At 40.0% G+C, this 20,935-nt stretch overlaps 1 pseudogene, besides 1 other annotated feature; it reads left to right on the top strand.

Annotated features, from left to right (window-relative positions):
* On the top strand, positions 307-2,762 carry NOL11P1 (NOL11 pseudogene 1; annotated as a pseudogene).
* Positions 7,087-7,586: an enhancer, noted in NCBI's record as "H3K4me1 hESC enhancer chrX:149289377-149289876 (GRCh37/hg19 assembly coordinates)". NCBI's record gives its function as "activates a minimal SCP1, AML or CMV promoter by ChIP-STARR-seq in primed H9 embryonic stem cells {active_cell/tissue: H9 hESC(primed)}" and the evidence as "EXISTENCE:reporter gene assay evidence [ECO:0000049][PMID:30033119]".

Below are 20,935 nucleotides of genomic sequence, written 5' to 3' on the forward strand. Positions count from 1 at the left end.
TCCCTACTTGTGGGACATTGCTCATACTATTTCTTTGGCCAGAGACCCTTCCCCATCTTCACCCTCATTCATGTGTTCAGCAAATCTGTATTGAGTACTACACGCCAGGTACTCTGCGGGTTCCATGGGGACTTCTGAGAATTTAGGACTCCTTTCTCTTCAGGAGCAAGTGCGCTGCCTACTGAGGGGATAAGACATGTACACATAACTAGACTCCAAGGTGAAAGGGACAAACACACACATCCATCTGAGGAAAACTGCATCTTCCTACAAGCTTTCTCAGCACCTCTTCAGAATCCAGTGTGCTAAGTTTGCTCAAAATGGCAGTGCTGGAGGAAGAATTCACGTTGTCTTCAGTAGTCCTGAGCGCGGGGCCTGAAGGACTCCTAGGCATGAAGCAGAGTGACAAAACAGACCAGTTTCTAGTGACAGACAGTGGCAGAACCGTGATCCTCTATAAGGTTTCTGATCAGAAACCCTTGGGGAGCTGGTCAGTGAAACAGGGTCAAATTGTAACATGTCCAGCTGTGTGCAACTTTCAAACTGGAGAGTATATTGTTGTACACAATAATAAGATTTTAAGAATCTGGAATAATGAAGATGTAAACCTGGATAAAGTATTTAAAGCTACATTGTCAGTTGAAGTATATAGGAAACTTTCAGTGCAAGGGTCAGAACCCTTGGTGCTCTTCAAGGAAGGTGTTCGTGGTTTAGAGGCCTCGCTTGCAGGCCCCCAGCAGAAAATTGAAGCTGTTATCTCTGATGAAGTGATTAAATGGACAAAGTTTTTCATAGTATTCAGACATCCTGTTTTAATTTTTATTACTGAAAAACATGGAAATCACTTTGCTTATGTGCAAATGTTTAACTCACGTATCTTAACCAAATATACACTCTTAGTTGGACAAGACAAAAACTATTTTATAGAGAGTTTTACTGCATTGGTAGATCAGAAATTCATCTCTTTGACGTCATTAAGCTCTGATGGTTGTATATATGAAACCTTGATGCCAATACGTCCAACTGACCCAGAAAAAAATCAGAGCTTAGTTAGATCACTGTTGCTCAAGGCTGTTGTGTCTGGTAACACTTGAAATGGAGTTGCACTCACTGCGCTGGATCAGGATCACGTCACAGTCCTAGGAAGTCCACTAGCAGCTTCTAAGGAATGCCTCTCTGTATGGAACATAAAATTTCAAACACTACAGACTTCAAAAGAGTTACCACAAGGGACCAGTGGTCAACTCTGGTATTATGGGGAAAATGTGTTTATGCTACGTGGAAAATCTCTGTGATTCCATACAACTGTGAAGTGTCATCATTAGCAGGTGCTCATGGAAAACTCAAGCATAGTCAAGATCCAGGAACTCATGTCGTGCCCCATTTTGTAAACTGGGAAACACCTCAAGGATGTGGACTTGGGTCCCAGAACTCAGAGCAGTCAAGAAGAATTTTAAGGAGACGAAAAATTGAAGTGAGTTTACAGCCAGAGGTATCACCATCCAAACAACTTTTGTCAACCATAATGAAAGATTCAGAGAAACATACTGAAGTAGAAGTATGGAAATTTTTGGCTCTGAAGCAGACCCCTGACTTTCATACTGTCACTGGGGACACAGTAACAGGACTTCTGGAAAGGTGTAAAGCAGAACCATCATTTTATCCCCGGAACTGTCTGATGCACCTTATCCAAATGCATGTGCTTTCTTACAGTTTGTGCCCTGACTTAATGGAGATTGCCTTAAAAAAGAAAGATGTACAGTTGTTACAACTCTGTCTACAGCAGTTCCCTGACATTCCTGAATCGGTCACCTGTGCTTGCTTACAAATTTTCTTGAGAATTGGTGATGACAGTATTCAAGAAACAGATGTCAGTATGGAGTCAGTTTTTGACTATAGTAATTCTGTACATGATGAGAAAATGGAAGAGCAAACTGGAATTCTTCAAAATGGCTTCAATCCTGAAGAAGATAAATACAGTAACTGTGATCAAGAGTTAAATAAAAAGCCCCAGGACAAGACAAAGGAGACCATTTCATGCTCTGTGATACCAAAAAGAGCAGCTCTACTTAATGCAATTCTTCATTCAGCATATAGCGAAACATTTCTTCTGCCTCATTTGAAAAACATCCCAGCACAGCATATCACACTGTTTCTCAAGTGTTTGTGTTTCCTTTATCTGAAGTGTAGCGAAAATGCTACTATGACTCTTCCTGGAATACACCCACCTACCTTGAACCAGATTATGGATTGGATATGTCTACTTCTGGATGCAAATTTTACTGTTGTAGCAATGATGCCAGAAGCAAAGAGGCCACTGATAAATCTTTACAAGCTTGTAAAATCTCAGATATCTGTTTATTCCAAGCTCAACAAGATTGAAGTAAGTTTTTGGGAGCTACAGAAATTAAATCAAGAAAAGAATAACAGAGGATTATATTCAATTGAAGTGCTGGAGCTCTTCTGATATTACCAATTCTCCTTCATAGTCATTTTATAAAGCTCTTTTATGTAACTCTTGCTTCATCCAGGCAAGAGTGGTGTTTTGTTTGCGACCCTCTCGGTGTCAAGAGAAACATGTCAGTGAGTACCTGGACCATCACTTATTGATGCTCCGGGGTAGAACTGCAGGTTTCACATGAACCTATTCTAGGTTGTGGACATTGGTGTGCAGAGGTTCTGCAATTTTTTAAAAATATGTAACTGGGTTGATTTTAAGTAAAATTATTTGTGTATTGATAAAAGTCTAATTTCTTATCATGTATTTTGAATTTTAATAAAAAACGACCATTGAAGCAGTGAAAAAAAAAGAATCTGGTGTGCTAACAGAAGACATTTAATTATGCCATCACATATGAATTCTCTGTCCTCCAAATTGACCCAACACCTCATATATCTCTTAGGGCAGCATTCCTTTCCTGGAGGAGGTGCTTTGAAGGGAACTCTGGAGGAAGATTAAGGTTTTAGATGGCGAGCTCTTTGGAGGCCAGAACTGAGTTCTCCAAGTTTCTGAGCCTTGGTCTATTGCTTCTACTTCCTCTACAGGTTCTCCCTGGACTATTTCTCTCATTCTTGTGCTTTAACTTTCATCAATATGCAGTTATCTCCCTGATCTTGGTCTCTTACCAAAACCTTCCCCCCATAAAGCCAAATGCTACTTGGATATCTACACTGATCATTCCACAGCCACTGAAATGGAAGTCTTCAACCTACTTAAAAACTCCATCCAAACAGCTTCTCCACTGCATGGCACTGGCATCTACCCAGTCACCCAGGCCAGATTTCTCAGCATCACCCTTAACTCCTTCCACTCACCCACCTAATCTGCCATCAGGTTCTGCCAGTTTACCTCCTAATTATTTCTGGAATGTATCTTTACCTCACCTACCCTCCTGCTACTGCACAAATTTAGGTCTTTATTATCTGTCACCTGGATTACTCTTCATTGTCCCCTCACTGTCATCCCTCTAGAGTCTCCTCTACACATCAGCTGAAGCGATTTACCTAAAATGCTAATTCAATTGCATCATCCCCACTGCTGAAAACCCTCTAATGGCTTCCCAATGTGAAAAACAGATTAGAGACATCCCTTCTGAATGTGCTACAGCTGAATTAGTGTGACCCTGCCTCAGACCTCTTGGGTGAGCTCAGGCAAATCCCTTTCCTTCTCTGGGCTTCAATCTCCTTATCTAAAAAATAAGGGGATTGGAAGAGTTCTGTATTTCCCAAAATGTGTTGTCTGGACTGCTGGCCATATGAAATGCTTTTTCCACATGGGTCTGGAGTAAAATGTGTTTGGAGAATGCATTCTCTAGCTCCTATTGGAGAGTGACAGAGCACCTTGACATGTCACAGGCTCTGGCAAGCCTGGCAATCAAGAAGGCTTGCTAACTTTCCTCCACTCAAGTTTCCTTAAACTTTTGTCACCACAGAATCCTTTTGGAGCTGAGCATCTATTAGAATCTTGAGGAACCAATGTTTGTGGAACATACTTTGGGAAATGCTGGAGTGGATCATTACCCAGGACTGCATTGCTGTGACCAGTGGTGATTCTGCTTAAGTTATTATTTGAGGCAAGAGGATGGTGTCTGACTCAGGTTTACATCTACCACAGTAGATACTCAGACAATGGTTATTGAACAGGGGGTGTAATAAGAAATGGATAAATTGAATGGAAAGTGCGCCTATTTTAGATGTGGACAGTAGATTCCTAGCCATGGTAAGAGAGCAGATTGTTCCCAGAAAGAAATGAGTACAAATCTTGATGGGCAGAGTGTGCTAACTACAGTAGTGATGGGTACTTCTGTGACCCATGTGGCTGTCTGTACTGCTGGACATGTCCATTCATGGCCATTATCATTTGACAGTTCCTCTGGGAAAGTTTACCCAGGGACTCTGGGGTGTGACAAGAAGAGAGCTGCCCCACTCTTGTGCCTTTCGTTGCATGAAAGCCATCGCTGGCACTTGTAAATGTTGACTCTTAGTAGCTCTGCTAGAAAATCAGCATTTTCTATCTCTGGACCATGTCCTGGACAAGGCAGAAGCTTCGTGGCACTGGGCATGGAGCCTGGTCCGCTGTATTCCTCAGCTGGGTCTTGCATTAGCACTGATTGCTGGCAAGGCCATCGGCCTAAGGCTGTGTTTTTCTAATCAAGGAAGCCAGTTTAGCACTTGGGAAAGAATAGTCAGCTGAGCCACGTTACTTTCCCCTCCTGGTAGAAATAATGTAGGCAGAGACAGTGGAACTTTTGCGAATGGTTTTGCAGGCAGCCCCAAGTCACTGAGGTCCTGTACTCTCCAGCCACTTCAGGGCTGCTCACTGCGGTTCACCAATAGGCCTTCCTGTCCTGGGACTGGTGAGAGAGACCCAATCCTCATGCCATTTGGAGCTTTCCAGCACATTCTCCCTGGGGTGGGGGTGGGGGACAGAAAATCATTTCCTGATCCCCCAGGCAAGAATACTAGGGTTCTGTTTACTGTATCATAACAACTGGAGGGAAGCTGGTATTAATATTATTCCATTATTCCTAATTTGTAGAGAATGAAACCAAGACCAAATATATATATATATATAAATATATATAAACTTGCTGAAGTCCATACAGCAAGAAGATGGCAAGGCTGAAGTCCCAATCCAGGTCAGACTAGTTACAATGCACTTGCTCGTGACACCACATTGCATCTCTTAGTTCTTTATTTGTTTGTCTTTACCAGAGTTTGTGGGCTCTTTGAGGGCAAGAGCCATATCTGATTTGTAGTAGGGCCTGCCACATAGTGGGTGTTGAGGGGAGCTGGTAGTCAGTATAAGGCTGACTGTGTCAGAGCATTGTGGTTCACTTGTCAAGAGTGTAGGGGAAAGTTCTCTGCAGTGTGGGCTTGGAGAAACAAACGCATCTGCTCCTTACTTCCCAAGCCTGGCATCCCCCAAAGATAATTACTGTGGACTCTCAGCTGTTGGAGCTGAGAGGCTATTCCACTTCAGCTGAGTGTGTTTCCCAAAACAGGTTTACATTGTTTTGAAACCATGGTGCAGAGCACGCAGAGAGCAAATAGAAGTTGATCCCCACACAACAGGCAGTAACTAAGACATCAAGAGTGAGTGGGACAGGTTTGGGGGGCTAAAGGGGAAAGCTGGCTAGTGCTGAGGGTATGCACATTTTAGAAAGGGACCCACACCTGTGGAAGGCAGCCCAGTCAACTGAAGCAAGAGCCCTAGAACTGTTCCTGACCTTTAACTCAATAATTCTTCTTCCTGAGATTTTATTCCTCAGGAAGCAGTTCAACAGAATTGAGAAGATACATGCATGAAGATGTTCATTATGAAATTGGCTGTAGTAATATAACACTGGGAACAAATGAATTGCCCAACAATAATGGGTGGCTAATTAAATTATGGCATATCCATTCCATGGCATATTATCAGAACATTTAATATGCTCATTCTGAAACCTGCAGCAGTCTGAGGAATACATGGAACAGGTTTTGAAAAGGAAGAGGCTCCATTGTATTTACACTGTGATCTTGCAACTTACAAAAACTCATAGTAAATGCGTAAATGAAAAAAGCTGTGTTAGGGTGATGGGATTTGGGTGATTTCCTTTATAAAATATCTTGATCATTAGTATCATTGCTATATTGTTTTTGCATTTCTAGAAGGAACTGTTTGTGTGGGTACATGCACCTTTGTGTGGGCAGAATCAACACAGAATTTCTCCCCAAAGCTAAATCTATTTTAAATGGATTCTTACATCTACTTAATAATAAAAGTGTATATATGAGGAACACAGACAGGAAAACAGGTGCTGGTGCCATTTGATGCATGATCAGCACCATGACATATTATTGAAAAGAAGCCAGTTGGGGAGGGATTATCATGGTGGACGGGAGGCAGGACTAGATTGCAGCTCCAGACAGAGCAGCGTGCAGTGGCTTGTAAATTTAAGATTCAGATTGACTGCAAGAACAAACCAGCAATCTCAAGAGGACCCACAGACCCTCTGAAGGAAGCAGATGCTCCTGCAGGACCCAGGAAACACCCCAAATACTGTGAGTGTCCCAACTGCAAAAGTGGGAAAGGGAGACCCTCCTCTCCCGAACACACACCCCCACTGGAGAAACTGAAGGTCTGTTTGTGGGAGAAGTTTCCTACCTTACCTGGAGCTGAGTCCAAGTTTGGAGAGCCAAGCCAAATACAGGGGTAGAGGAAGCAGCAGAAAGGCCCTGGGAGCTCGCTGGGTCCCCAGACAGCCCATTCCTACCTGGCACCACAGGGATTCATTGGGAGGGTGGCCAGAGGAGCATGGGGTAAAACTCCACAGACAGAAGGAAATCTCCAGCTGAACTTCATAACAATTTGAATGGGGCAAGAAGCCTCCTGGCCAGAACTCAGGGGAGGGTGCAAATCCAGTGTGCAGACTCCACAGGCAGGGGAAGAATCAATCCCTTTTATTTTGCAGCTGGGAGGTGGGTAGCCTGGGGCATGTTTTCAAGCCCATCTCACTCACCGCCTGGAAACAGACTCAGGGCTGTTGGGGGGTGCACGGTAGGAGTGAGACTGGCCCTTCGGTTTGTGTGGGAGCTTGGTGGGGCCTGTAACTGCCGGCTTTCCTCCACTTCCCTGACAACCTGCATGACTCGGCAGAGGCAGCCATAATCCTCCTAGGTACACAACTCCAGTGACCTGGGAATCTCACCCCCATCCCCCACAGCAGCCACAGCAAGACCCACCCAAGGAGAGTCTGGGCTCAGATACGCCTAGCCCTGCCCCCACCTGATGGTCCTTCCCTACCCACACTGGTAGCTGAAGACAAAGGGGCATGTAATCTTGGGAGTTCTAGGGCCCTGCCCAGCACCATTTCCTCTCCATACTAGCACAGCTGATGCTCTCTGGAAAGTGCCACCTCCCAGCAGGAGGCCAACCAGCACAAAAATAGAACATTAAACCACCAAAGCTAAGAACCTTCATGGAGCTATTGCACCCCCACACCACCACCACCTCCACTTGAACAGGTGCTGGTATCCATGGCTGAGAGACCCATAGGCAGTTCACATCACAGGACTCTGTGCAGATGACCCCCAGTACCAGCCTGGAGTTGGGTAGATTCACTGGGTGGCTAGACCCAGAAGAGAGACAACAATCACAGCAGTTTGGCTCACAGGAAGCCACACCCATAGGAAACGGGGGAGAGTACTACAACAAGGGAATACCCCATGGGACAAAAAGAATCTGAACAACAGCCTTCAGCCCTAGACCTTCCCTTCTGACAGAGCCTACCCAAATGAGAAGGAACCAGAAAACCAACCCTGGTAATATGACAAAACAAGGCTCTTTAACACCCCCCAAAAATCATGCTAGTTCACCAGCAATGGATTCAAATCAAGAAGAAATCCCTGATTTACCTGAAAAAGAATTCAGGAGGTTAGTTATTAAGGTAATCAGGGAGGCACCAGAGAAAGGCGAAGCAGGAAATCCAAAAAATGATACAAGAAGTGAAGGGAGAAATATTCAAGGAAATAGGTAGCTTAAAGAAAAAAACAATAAAAAATTCAGGAAACTTTGGGCACACTTTTAGAAATGTGAAATGCTCTGGAAAGTCTCAGCAATAGAATTGAACAAGTGGAAGAAAGAAATTCAGAGCTTGAAGACAAGGTCTTCAAATTAACCCAATCCAACAAAGACAAAGAAAACAGAATAAGAAAATATGAACAAAGCCTCCAAGAAGTCTGGGATTATGTTAAACGACCAAACCTAAGAATAATCGGTATTCCTGAGGAAGAAGACAATTCTAAAAGCTTGGAAAACATATTTGGGGGAATAATTGAGGAAAACTTCCCCAGCCTTGCTAGAGACATAGACATCCAAATACAAGAAGCACAAAGAACACCCGTGAAATTCATCACAAAAAGATCATCACCTAGGCACATTGTCATCAGGTTATCCAAAGTTAAGACAAAGGAAAGAATCTTAGGAGCTGTGAGACAGAAGCACCAGGTAACCTATGGAGGAAAACCTATCAGATTAGCAGCAGATTTCTCAGCAGAAACCCTGCAAGCTAGAAGGGATTGGGGCCCTATCTTCAGCCTCCTCAAGCAAAACAGTTATCAGCCCAGAATTTTGTATCCAGTGAAACTAAGCATCATATATGAAGGAAAGATACAGTCTTTTTCAGACAAACAAATGAGAGAATTCACTGTTACCAAGCCACCACTGCAAGAACTGCTAAAAGGAGCTCTAAATCTTGAAACAAATCCTGGAAACACATCAAAACGGAACCTCTTTAAAGCATGAATCACACAAGACCTATAAAACAAAAATACAAGTTAAAAAAGCAAAAAAAAAAAAATTCCACTGGCAACAAAGAGCACAATGTATGCAACGGTACCTCACATTTCAATACTAACATTGAATGTAAATACCCTAAATAACCTAAATGCTCCACTTAAAAGATACAGAACTGCAGAATGGATAAGAACTCACCAACCAACTATCTGCTGCCTTCAGGAGACTCACCTAACACATAAGGACACACATAAACTTAAAGTACAGAGGTGGAAAAAGGCACTTCATGCAAATGGACACCAAAAGTGAGCAGAGGTAGCTATTCTTATATCAGACAAAACAAACTTTAAAGCAACAGCAGTTAAAAAACACAAAGAGGGACATTATATAATGGTAAAAGGCCTTGTCCAAGAGGAAAATATCACAATCCTAAAAGTATATGCACCTAACACTGGAGCTCCCAAATTTACAAAACAATTACTAATAGACCTAAGAAATGAGATAGACAGCAACACAATAACAGTGGGGGACTTCAGTACTCCACTGACAGCACTAGACAGGTTATCAAGATAGAAGGTCAACAAAGAAACCATGGAATTAAACTATACCTTGGAACAAATGGACTTAACAGGTATATACAGAACATTTAATCCAACAACCACAGAATACACATTCTATTCAACAGTGCATGGAACTTTCTCTAAGATAGACCATGTGATAGGCCATAAAATGAGCCTCAATAAATTTAAGAAAATTGAAATTATATCAGGCACTCCCTCAGACCACAGTGGAATAAAACTAAAAATCAACTCAAAAAGGAACCTTCAAAACCATGCAAATACATGGAAATTAAATAACTTGCTCCTGAATGACCATTCAGTCAAAAACAAAATCCAGATGGAAATTAAAAAATTCTTCAAACTGAATGACAGTAATGACACAACCTACCAAAACCTCTGAGATACAGAAAAGACAGTACTAAGAGAAAAGTTCATAGCCCTAAACACCTACATCAAAAAGACTGAAAGAGCACAGACTGACATCCTAAGGTCACACCTCAAGGAACTAGAGAAACAAGAACAAACCAAACCTAAACCCAGCAGAAGAAAGGAAATAACCAAGATCAGAGCAGAACTAAAGGAAATTGAGACAAAAAAATACAAAAGATAAATTAAACAAAAACCTGGTTCTTTGAAAAGATAAAATTGATAGACCATTAGCAAGATTAAACAAGAAAAGAAGAGAGAAAATCCAAATAATCTCACTAAGAAATGAAACAGGAGATATTACAGCTGACAGCACTGAAATACAAAAGATCATTCAAGGCTACTATGAACGCCTTTACACACATAAACTAGAAAACCTAGAAGAGATGGATAAATTCCTGGAAAAATACAACCCTCCTGGCTTAAATCGGGAAGAATTAGATACCCTGAACAGACCAATAGCAAGCAGCGAGATTGAAATGGTAATTTAAAAATTACCGACAAAAAAAAAAAAAAAGTCCAGGACCAGACATATTCACAGCAGAATTCTATGAGACATTCAAAGAAGAATTGGTACCAATCCTTTTGACACTATTCCACAAGAAAGAGAAAGAAGGAACCCTTCCTAATTCATTCTATGAAGCCAGTGTCACCCTAATACCAAAGCCAGGGAAGGACATAACCAAAAATGAAAACTACAGACCAATATCCTTGATGAACATAGATGCTAAAATCCTTAACAAAATACTAGCTAATCAAATCCAACAACATATCAAAAAGATAACCCACCATGATTAAGTGAGTTTCATACCAGGGATGCAGGGATTGTTTAACATATGCAAGTCAATAAATATGATACATCACATAAACAGAATTAAAAACAAAAATCACATGATTATCACAATAGATGCAGAAAAAGCATTTGACAAAATCCAGCATCGCTCTATGATTAAAACTTTCAGCAAAATTGGCATACAAGGGACATACCTGAATGTAATAAAAGCCATCTATGACAATCCACAGCCAACATAATACTGAATGGGGAAAAGTTGAAAGCATTTCTTCTGAGAACTGGAACAAGACAAGGATGCCCACTCTCACCACTCCTCTCCAACATAGTACTGGAAGTTTTAGCCAGAGCAATCAGACAAGAGAAAGAAATAAAGGGCATTCGAATCAGTAAAAGGAAGTCATACTTTCACTGTTTGCTGATGATATGATCGTTTACCTTGAAAACCCTAAAGACCCCTCCAGAAAGCTCCTAGAACTGATAAAAGAATTCAGCAAAGTTTCTGGATACAAGATTAATGTACACAAATCAGTAGCTCTTCTATACACCAACAGTGACCAAGCAGAGAATCAAATCAAGAACTCAACCTCTTTTACAATAGCTGCAAAAATAAATAAATAAATAAATAAATAAATAAATAAATAAATAAAATACTTAGGAATATACCTAACCAAGGAGTCAAAAGACCTCTACAAGGAAAACTACAAAACACTGCTGAAAGAAATCATAGATGACACAAACAAATGGAAACACATCCCATGCTCATGGATGGGTAGAATCAATATTGTGAAAATGACCATACCGCCAAAAGGAATCTACAAATTCAATGCAATTCCCATCAAAATACCACCATCATTCTTCACAGAATTATAAAAAAAATTCTAAAATTCATATGGAACCAAAAAATAGCCTGCATAGCCAAAGCAAGACTAAACAAACAAACAAACAAAACAAATCTGGAGGCATCACACTACCTGATTTCAAACTATAAGGCCATAGTCACCAAAACAGCGTGATACTGGTATAAAAATAGGCACATACACCCATGAAACAGAATAGAGAACCCAGAAATAAACCCAAATACTTAGAGCCAACTGATCTTTCACAAAGGAAACAAAAACATACAGTGGGGAAAGGACACCCTTTTCAACAAATGGTGCTGGGATAACTGGCTAGCCACAGGTAGGAGAATGAAACTGGATCCTCATCTCTCACCATATACAAAATCAACTCAAGATGGTTTAAGCACTTAAACCTAAGACCTGAAACTACAAAAATTTTTGAAGACAACATTGGAAAAACCCTTCTAGACATTGGCTTAGGCAAGAATTTCATGACCAAGAACCCAAAAGCAAATGCAATAAAAACAAAGATAAATAGCTGGTACCTAGTTAAAGAGCTTTTGCACGGCAAAAGGAACAGTTGGCAGAGTAAACAGACAACCCACAGAATGGGAGAAAAACTTCACAGTCTATACATCAAAGGACTAATATCCAGAATCTACAACGAACCCAAACAATTCAGTAAGAAAAACAAACAAACAAACAAATGCCATCAAAAAGTGGGCTAAAGACATGAGTAGACAATTCTCAAAAGAAGATATACAAATGGCCAAAAAAACGTATGAAAAAATGCTCAACATCACGAATGATTAGGGAAATTGAAGTCAAAACCACAATGCAATACCACCTTACTCCTACAAGAGTGGCCGTAATACAAAAATCAAAAAACAGTAGATGTTGGCGTGGATGCCAAGGAGATTCCATGGGCATGGTTATCAGGAAGCACTTCTACACTGCTGGTGGGAATGTAAACTAGTACAGCCACTATGGAAAACAGTGTGGAGATTCCTTAAAGAACTAAAAGTAGAACTACCATTTGATCCATCAATCCCGCTACTTGGTATCTACCCAGAGGAAAAGAAGTCACTATTCGAAAAAGATACTTCCACACGCATGTTTATAGCAGCACAATTCACAGTTGTAAAATTGTGGAACCAACCCAAATGCCCATCAATCAGCGAGTGGATAAAGAAACTGTGAGATAAAAAGGAATGGATTAACAGCATTTGCAGTGACATGGATGATATTGGAGACTATTCTAAGTGAAGTAACTCAGGAATGGAAAACCAAACATCGTATGTTCTCACTGATATGTGGGAGCTAAGCTATGAGGATCCAAAGGCATGAGAATGATACAATGGACTTTGGGGACTTGGGGGAAAGAGTGGAGGGGGTCGAGGGTTAAGACTACAAATACGGTGCAGTGTATACTGCTCAGGTGATGGCCACACCAAAATCTCACAAATCACCACTAAAGAACTTACTCATGTAAGGAAATACCACCTGTACCCAAATAACTTATGGAAAATAAATAAATAAGAAGCCAGGATCCTTCCATGGTACAACTGGCTATTCATGAAGCTCTTGAAATGGATAAGGTTGTAGCATCTGGTCCATTGTTGTCATTCCTAGATTGCCAGCCAGGCCTCATCTTAAATCTCTAATTTACAAATGGTTCTTGCCTATCAGTGACCAGGGGTGTATCCACAAACTTTTTCTCATATAAATAGAAAATAGGCAATCTTCCCCAAATGGGAGAAGGAAGCTTGTCCTAAATTCCAAGCTTGAATGTTCATTGGTCTTTTGAAGGCACTGTAGGCAGAGCTCCCCAGTCCCCACTACTGGACAAGGTTCCCTTTGTCCCAGAGATAGCAGGGTATGTGACAGAGCAGTTTGTAGAGACAGCAGTGATGACACTACCTCACTCATCCACCATTGGTGCTGATGCTCTGCTTGTCCTGTCGAATGTCAGCCTTGAGCACCCTGACCCCTGCCTGCAAGCCTGATGCACGAGAAAATACACCTTGGGACTGTGTGAAGTAACGTCAAAGTGTTTGGCCTTCATATATTGTCCCCTCCCCATTCCTGCTACCCCCTTCATAATTGTAACCTTTTTGGATATTCAGCTTGGAATAGTGGGCATGCAGCCCCTCACACCACCATGCTAATTCACACCATTCACACCCAGAGGCAATTAAACCTAAGGATGGCCAAGATATAGAGGGGACCAAGGTACTGTCTTAACTTGAGGCCTTTGGTGTTTCCCTTTTAACACTTTACTGCACTAGCTGGGCTAGCTTGTATACTTAAAAGCTGGGCTTGGATACAGAAGGATATATCTAAGTATGTATACCCATATATCTATAATTATCTATCTCCATTCTGTCTCTCATTGCTCTTCATAGCCAGGGCCAGTAATAAGGAAACTAATGCTGAGAGTTAACATGGTCTGTTCAAGGTCTTGTATCTTGAAGTGATATTGCTACTGCCTAAACTTTGGTCTCCTGTCTTCAAGTCCAGTGCTTTTTGGTAGGTAGCCACTAGGGAATATTCTCTAATTTGGGCGTGCCTTAATGGCATACCCTAATACCACTGGTGTATCCACAAGCCTAAGTTGGGTGTACCGTAGGCCCATCCCTGTGCTAGGTATGGAATGGGGCAGCAGTTAAGATGCACTGTCCAGCCTGGCATGCCCTCACTCCCACCAATTTAAAGGATTGCCCTGTAAATACTTCACAGTTCCAGTCCACCAAGACTTGCTGCTTGTCTGCATGGATCTTAACTTTCCCGGCCTCAGCTTGCCTTTCTGTTGCCGTTTTTGCTTTTTTAAAAAATGTTTTTAGTTGTGAAATATAACATAGAAACAAAAAGGTATGTAGCCAGATTAACAAACTGCATAAAGCAAATGCTCGTGTAACCATCATCCAGATCAAGAAACATAACATTGCTAGCACCCCAGATACCACCCACATGTCCCTTCCTAATCACTATACCCCTGCTCCCCACTCCGGGAAGCCACTAGCCTGACTTTCCAGTAATCACTTGCTTATCTTCAGAGTTTTACCACTTAACTAGGGATACCTAAACACACTATAGCTTTGCCTATATTTTTGAACTTAATATAAGTGAGATCATACAGTATATATTCTTTTGTGCATGACTTCCTTTCATTGTTTGTGAGATTGAGACATGTTATTGATATAGAACCTTTCCATTACCTGAAAAAGCTTTCTCCTTCCCTTTTGCAGTCAAACTTCTCCTACCCCTGTCCTAGGCAAGTACTGATCTGCTTTCTGTCACTATAGGTAAGTCTTGCCTTTCGTAGAATTTCATATGAATATAATAATACAGTATGTACTCCTTTGTCCCTGGCTTCTTTTGTTCATCACAATTTTTTGACCTCATTAATGTTGTTGTATGCATCAGTAGTTTGTTTCTTTCCCATGTTGTGCAATATTCCATGTTGTGAAGATACTACAACTTGTTTACCCATCCATTCACCTATTGATACGCATTTGGGTTGTTTCAAGATTTTTACTATTACAGATGAAGCTGCTATGAACATTTCTATACAAGTCTCTCTGTGAATGTAAATTTTCTTTTCTCTTGGCTAATATTTAGTAATGGAATTGCTAGGCTGTATAATTGGTATATGTTCAACTTTATTATAAATTGCCAGAGGATTTTTCAAAGTGATTATACCATTTTGCAGTTCCACAATGCAACGTCTGAGATCTATTTGCCCCACATCATTAACAACACTGGATATTGTACAGCTTTTTAGTTTTTACCATTCTTGTGGGTATGAAGTGGCATCTCTTCGTGTTCAGTTTGAAATTTTGATTCTTGATATGATGAGTGATTTGGCATGGAAACCTGGATATTTCAGGTATTATGTTATGAGACTCTGGGTCTCATTTATACTTTAACATAGTTTATTCTAACACCAATGCAGCAGGGAAAGAGGGGAATAAATTTGTATATCCCTGATAACAAGTGACAGTGAATATATTGTCATGTGCTTGTTGGCCATTCATATATTTTCTTTTGTGAAGTGTCTGTTTTAATCATTTGCCCATTTTTAAATTGGGTTCCTGGTCTTGTTATTAAATTATAATTGTGATTTCTATATTCTTGATGTAAGTCCTTTCTCAGATCTATGGTTTGCAAATTTACCATTTCATTTTTTTTAGTGATTCAAAGAGCAAAATTTAATGAAATCCATTGTATCATTTTTTCTTATATAGTTTATACTTTTTGTGTCCTATCAAGATTTTTGCCTCTTCCAAATTTGCAATTATTTTTCCTATTTTTTTCTTCTGAATTTTTATAGTTTTAACTTTTATGTTTAGATTTATGAACCATCTCAAGTTAATATATGTATATGGTATGTAATAAGGGTTGAGGTTCATCTTCCCCAAATGAATATTCAGTTGTAATTGCACCTTTTTTTTTTTAAGTCTATGTTATCACCCATTAAATCACTTTGACATCTTTGCTGAAAATCAATTGGTCATACATGTGTGAGGCTATTTCTGGACTTTCTAATTTTTTCCCATGATACATTTGTCTATCCTTATACCAATACTCTACTTCCCCAGTTGTTTAATCTTTATAACAATTATTTAAGCCAGTCAATGTAACTCCTACAACTTTGCTCTTCTTTTTTAAAAACTTTTATTTGTAAACTGCCGTTTTTATATAGTTCTATGAATTTTAGCATAAGGGTAGATTGGTGTAACTACCACCAAAATCAGGATACAGAACAATCCAATCTAGGGGTAGCCTATCAAGACAGAAGTATTTTAGGCAATGACTATACTGTTTTAGCCCAATGCCACAGGGGAAAACAAACAAACAAACAAACAAACAAACACTTTTGGCCTGACCACACTCACACCAGCAAAAGCTGAGTGGGAAAGCTAGAATTCTATCCTTGCCAGGCTGTAATGAGGCTCCAGTGTCAGAGAAGGCTGAGTAGGGAGCTAGGACTTTCATTCCCTCCATTCGGCAGCAAGGCATCTCCTCATCCCGTGATGCCAGTGGAGATCATTTGGGGAGCCTGGATTTATGTCCTCACAAGGCAGTAATGAGGCATTCCATAGACTCCTTGCTGAAATGGTGTCAGAGGAGGCCTACTGGAGATTCAGGGTCACCATCTTATGGTGGCAATGAGGCCACTGCACCCATATGTGGTGTCAGTGGAGGCAACATGAGGAACAGTAAAAAGGTAACAACTACCTCTTCCATCCAGGGAAGTATCATTGAAAGCCTACTAGGGATCTGGATCTCCCACCTCTATGCAGCAGTAACAAGGAGCATCATCCTGCCTCAGGTGCCAACAGAAGTAATCTGAACTTTTGTCCCCATATGGCTATAAAGAGGTGACACTTCATTCCCTCTTCCCTTGCTGCATTGGTGTCATAATAAATTATATTAAACAGAAGATATAAATGAGGCCTAAAGTCTCGTAACATAATACCCCAAATGTCAAGATATCCATACAAAATCACTCATCAAAGAATGAACATTTCAAATGGAATAAAAAAAAAACAATTAGTTGATGCCCAACACCAGGATGACAGGGATATGGGAAGGATTTGACAAAAATCTAATGTACCCATTGTAAAAATAATGAGAAATTTCAATGATATTCAAACGTATTTGGAACAAATGAAACACACTTGGAACAAATGAAAAAATATAACATTTTAGCAAATAAATGGAAATAGAAAATATCAAGAAAAGCCAAGTGGATATTTTAGAGGCAAAAAATACAATAACCAAAATAAAGAGCTCAATAGATGGATTGAACAGGAAAATGAAGGGACAGAGGAATCAGTAAACTTGAAGTTGCAATAGATATTATCCAATCTTGGCCAATCAAGATATATAATCATTACACTTATTGTAGAAATACACTTTAAGATGAAGTATACTTTTTTTTATTTTTTTATTTTTTTTATTATACTTTAAGTTTTAGGGTACATGTGCACAATGTGCAGGTTAGTTACATATGTATACATGTGCCATGCTGGTGTGCTGCACCCACTAACTCGTCATCTAGCATTAGGTATATCTCCCAGTGCTATCCCTCCCCCCTCCCCCCACCCCTCCACAGTCCCCAGAGTGTGATATTCCCCTTCCTGTGTCCATGTGATCTCATTGTTCAATTCCCACCTATGAGTGAGAATATGCGGTGTTTGGTTTTTTGTTCTTGTGATAGTTTACTGAGAATGATGATTTCCAATTTCATCCATGTCCCTACAAAGGACATGAACTCATCATTTTTTATGGCTGCATAGTATTCCATGGTGTATATGTGCCACATTTTCTTAATCCAGTCTATCATTGTTGGACATTTGGGTTAGTTCCAAGTCTTTGCTATTGTGAATAGTGCCGCAATAAACATACGTGTGCATGTGTCTTTATAGCAGCATGATTTACAGTCCTTTGGGTATATACCCAGCAATGGGATGGCTGGATCAAATGGTATTTCTAGTTCTAGATCCCTGAGGAATCGCCACACTGACTTCCACAATGGTTGAACTAGTTTACAGTCCCAGCAACAGTGTAAAAGTGTTCCTATTTCTCCACATCCTCTCCAGCACCTGTTGTTTCCTGACTTTTTAATGATCGCCATTCTAACTGGTGTGAGATGGTATCTCATTGTGGTTTTGATTTGCATTTCTCTGATGGCCAGTGATGGTGAGCATTTTTTCATGTGTTTTTTGGCTGCATAAATGTCTTCTTTTGAGAAGTGTCTGTTCATGTCCTTCACCCACTTTTTGATGGGGTTGTTTGTTTTTTTCTTGTAAATTTGTTTGAGTTCATTGTAGATTCTGGATATTAGCCCTTTGTCAGATGAGTAGGTTGTGAAAATTTTCTCCCATTTTGTAGGTTGCCTGTTCACTCTGATGGTAGTTTCTTTTGCTGTGCAGAAGCTCTTTAGTTTAATTAGATCCCATTTGTCAATTTTGTCTTTTGTTGCCATTGCTTTTGGTGTTTTGGACATGAAGTCCTTGCCCATGCCTATGTCCTGAATGGTAATGCCTAGGTTTTCTTCTAGGGTTTTTATGGTTTTAGGTCTAACGTTTAAGTCTTTAATCCATCTTGAATTGATTTTTGTATAAGGTGTAAGGAAGGGATCCAGTTTCAGCTTTCTACATATGGCTAGTCAGTTTTCCCAGCACCATTTATTAAATAGGGAATCCTTTCCCCATTGCTTGTTTTTGTCAGGTTTGTCAAAGATCAGATAGTTGTAGATATGCGGCATTATTTCTGAGGGCTCTGTTCTGTTCCATTGATCTATATCTCTGTTTTGGTACCAGTACCATGCTATTTTGGTTACTGTAGCCTTGTAGTATAGTTTGAAGTCAGGTAGTGTGATGCCTCCAGCTTTGTTCTTTTGACTTAGGATTGCCTTGGCGATGCAGGCTCTTTTTTGGTTCCATATGAACTTTAAAGTAGTTTTTTCCAATTCTGTGAAGAAAGTCATTGGTAGCTTGATGGGGATGGCATTGAATCTATAAATTACCTTGGGCAGTATGGCCATTTTCACAATATTGATTCTTCCTACCCATGAGCATGGAATGTTCTTCCATTTGTTTGTATCCTCTTTTATTTCCTTGAGCAGTGGTTTGTACTTGGAAGTAAAGCTCTCCTCAGCAAATGTAAAAGAACAGAGATTATAACAAACTATCTCTCAGACCACAGTGCAATCAAACTAGAACTCAGCATTAAGAATCTCACTCAAAACCGCTCAACTACATGGAAACTGAACAACCTGCTTCTGAATGACTACTGGATACATAACGAAATGAAGGCAGAAAGAAAGATGTTCTTTGAGACCAGCAAGAACAAAGACACAACATACCAGAATCTCTGGGACACATTCAAAGCAGTGTGTAGAGGGAAATTTATAGCACTAAATGCCCACAAGAGAAAGCAAGAAAGATCCAAAATTGACACCCTAACATCACAATTAAAAGAACTAGAAAAGCAAGAGCAAACACATTCAAAAGCTAGCAGAAGGCAAGAAATAACTAAAATCAGAGCAGAACTGAAGGAAATAGAGACACAAAAAACCCTTCAAAAAATTAATGAAACCAGGAGCTGGTTTTTTGAAAGGATCAACAAAATTGATAGACCGCTAGCAAGACTAATAAAGAAAAAAAGAGAGAAGAATCAAATAGACACAATAAAAAATGATAAAGGGGATATCACCACCGATCCCACAGAAATACAAACTACCGTCAGAGAATACTACAAACACCTCTACGCAAATAAACTAGAAAATCTAGAATAAATGGATAAATTCCTCGACACATACACTCTCCCAAGACTAAACCAGGAAGAAGTTGAATCTCTGAATAGACCAATAACAGGCTCTGAAATTGTGGCAATAATCAATAGTTTACCAACCAAAAAGAGTCCAGGACCAGATGGATTCACAGCCGAATTCTATCAGAGGTACAAGGAGGAACTGGTACCATTCCTTCTGAAACTATTCCAATCAATAGAAAAAGAGGGAATCCTCCCTAACTCATTTTATGAGGCCAGCATCATTCTGATACCAAAGCCGGGCAGAGACACAACCAAAAAAGAGAATTTTAGACCAATATCCTTGATGAACATTGATGCAAAAATCCTCAATAAAATACTGGCAAAACGAATCCAGCAGCACATCAAAAAGCTTATACACCATGATCAAGTGGGCTTCATCCCTGGGATGCAAGGCTGGTTTAATATATGCAAATCAATAAATGTAATCCAGCATATAAACAGAGCCAAAGACAAAAATCACATGATTATCTCAATAGATGCAGAAAAAGCCTTTGACAAAATTCAACAACCCTTCATGCTAAAAGCTCTCAATAAATTAGGTATTGATGGGACGTATTTCAAAATAATAAGAGCTATCTATGACAAACCCACAGCCAATATCATACTGAATGGGCAAAAACTGGAAGCATTCCCTTTGAAAACTGGCACAAGACAGGGATGCCCTCTCTCACCACTCCTATTCAACATAGTGTTGGAAGTTCTGGCCAGGGCAATGAGGCGGGAGAAGGAAATAAAGGGTATTCAATTAGGAAAAGAGGAAGTCAAATTGTCCCTGTTTGCAGACGACATGATTGTATATCTAGAAAACCCCATCGTCTCAGCCCAAAATCTCCTTAAGCTGATAAGCAACTTCAGCAAAGTCTCAGGATACAAAATCAATGTACAAAAATCACAAGCATTCTTATACACCAACAACAGACAAACAGAGAGCCAAATCATGAGTGAACTCCCATTCACAATTGCTTCAAAGAGAATAAAATACCTAGGAATCCAACTTACAAGGGATGTGAAGTATACTTTTTTTCTGAGAAAAGTGGGTTTTTTATACTGACATCTTTAAAAATTGTAAAATATTTCTCTTGTTCATCTGCTACCCATTCCCCCTACTAATTCTATAGAATTGATTATACACTAATTCTATAGAATTTATTATACCCTTAAGACTAAAAGTTTATAATAAAAATATAAAAGA

The sequence above is a fragment of the Homo sapiens genome, chromosome X (assembly GCF_000001405.40).
Source record: "Homo sapiens chromosome X, GRCh38.p14 Primary Assembly".
Lineage (NCBI taxonomy): Eukaryota > Metazoa > Chordata > Mammalia > Primates > Hominidae > Homo > Homo sapiens.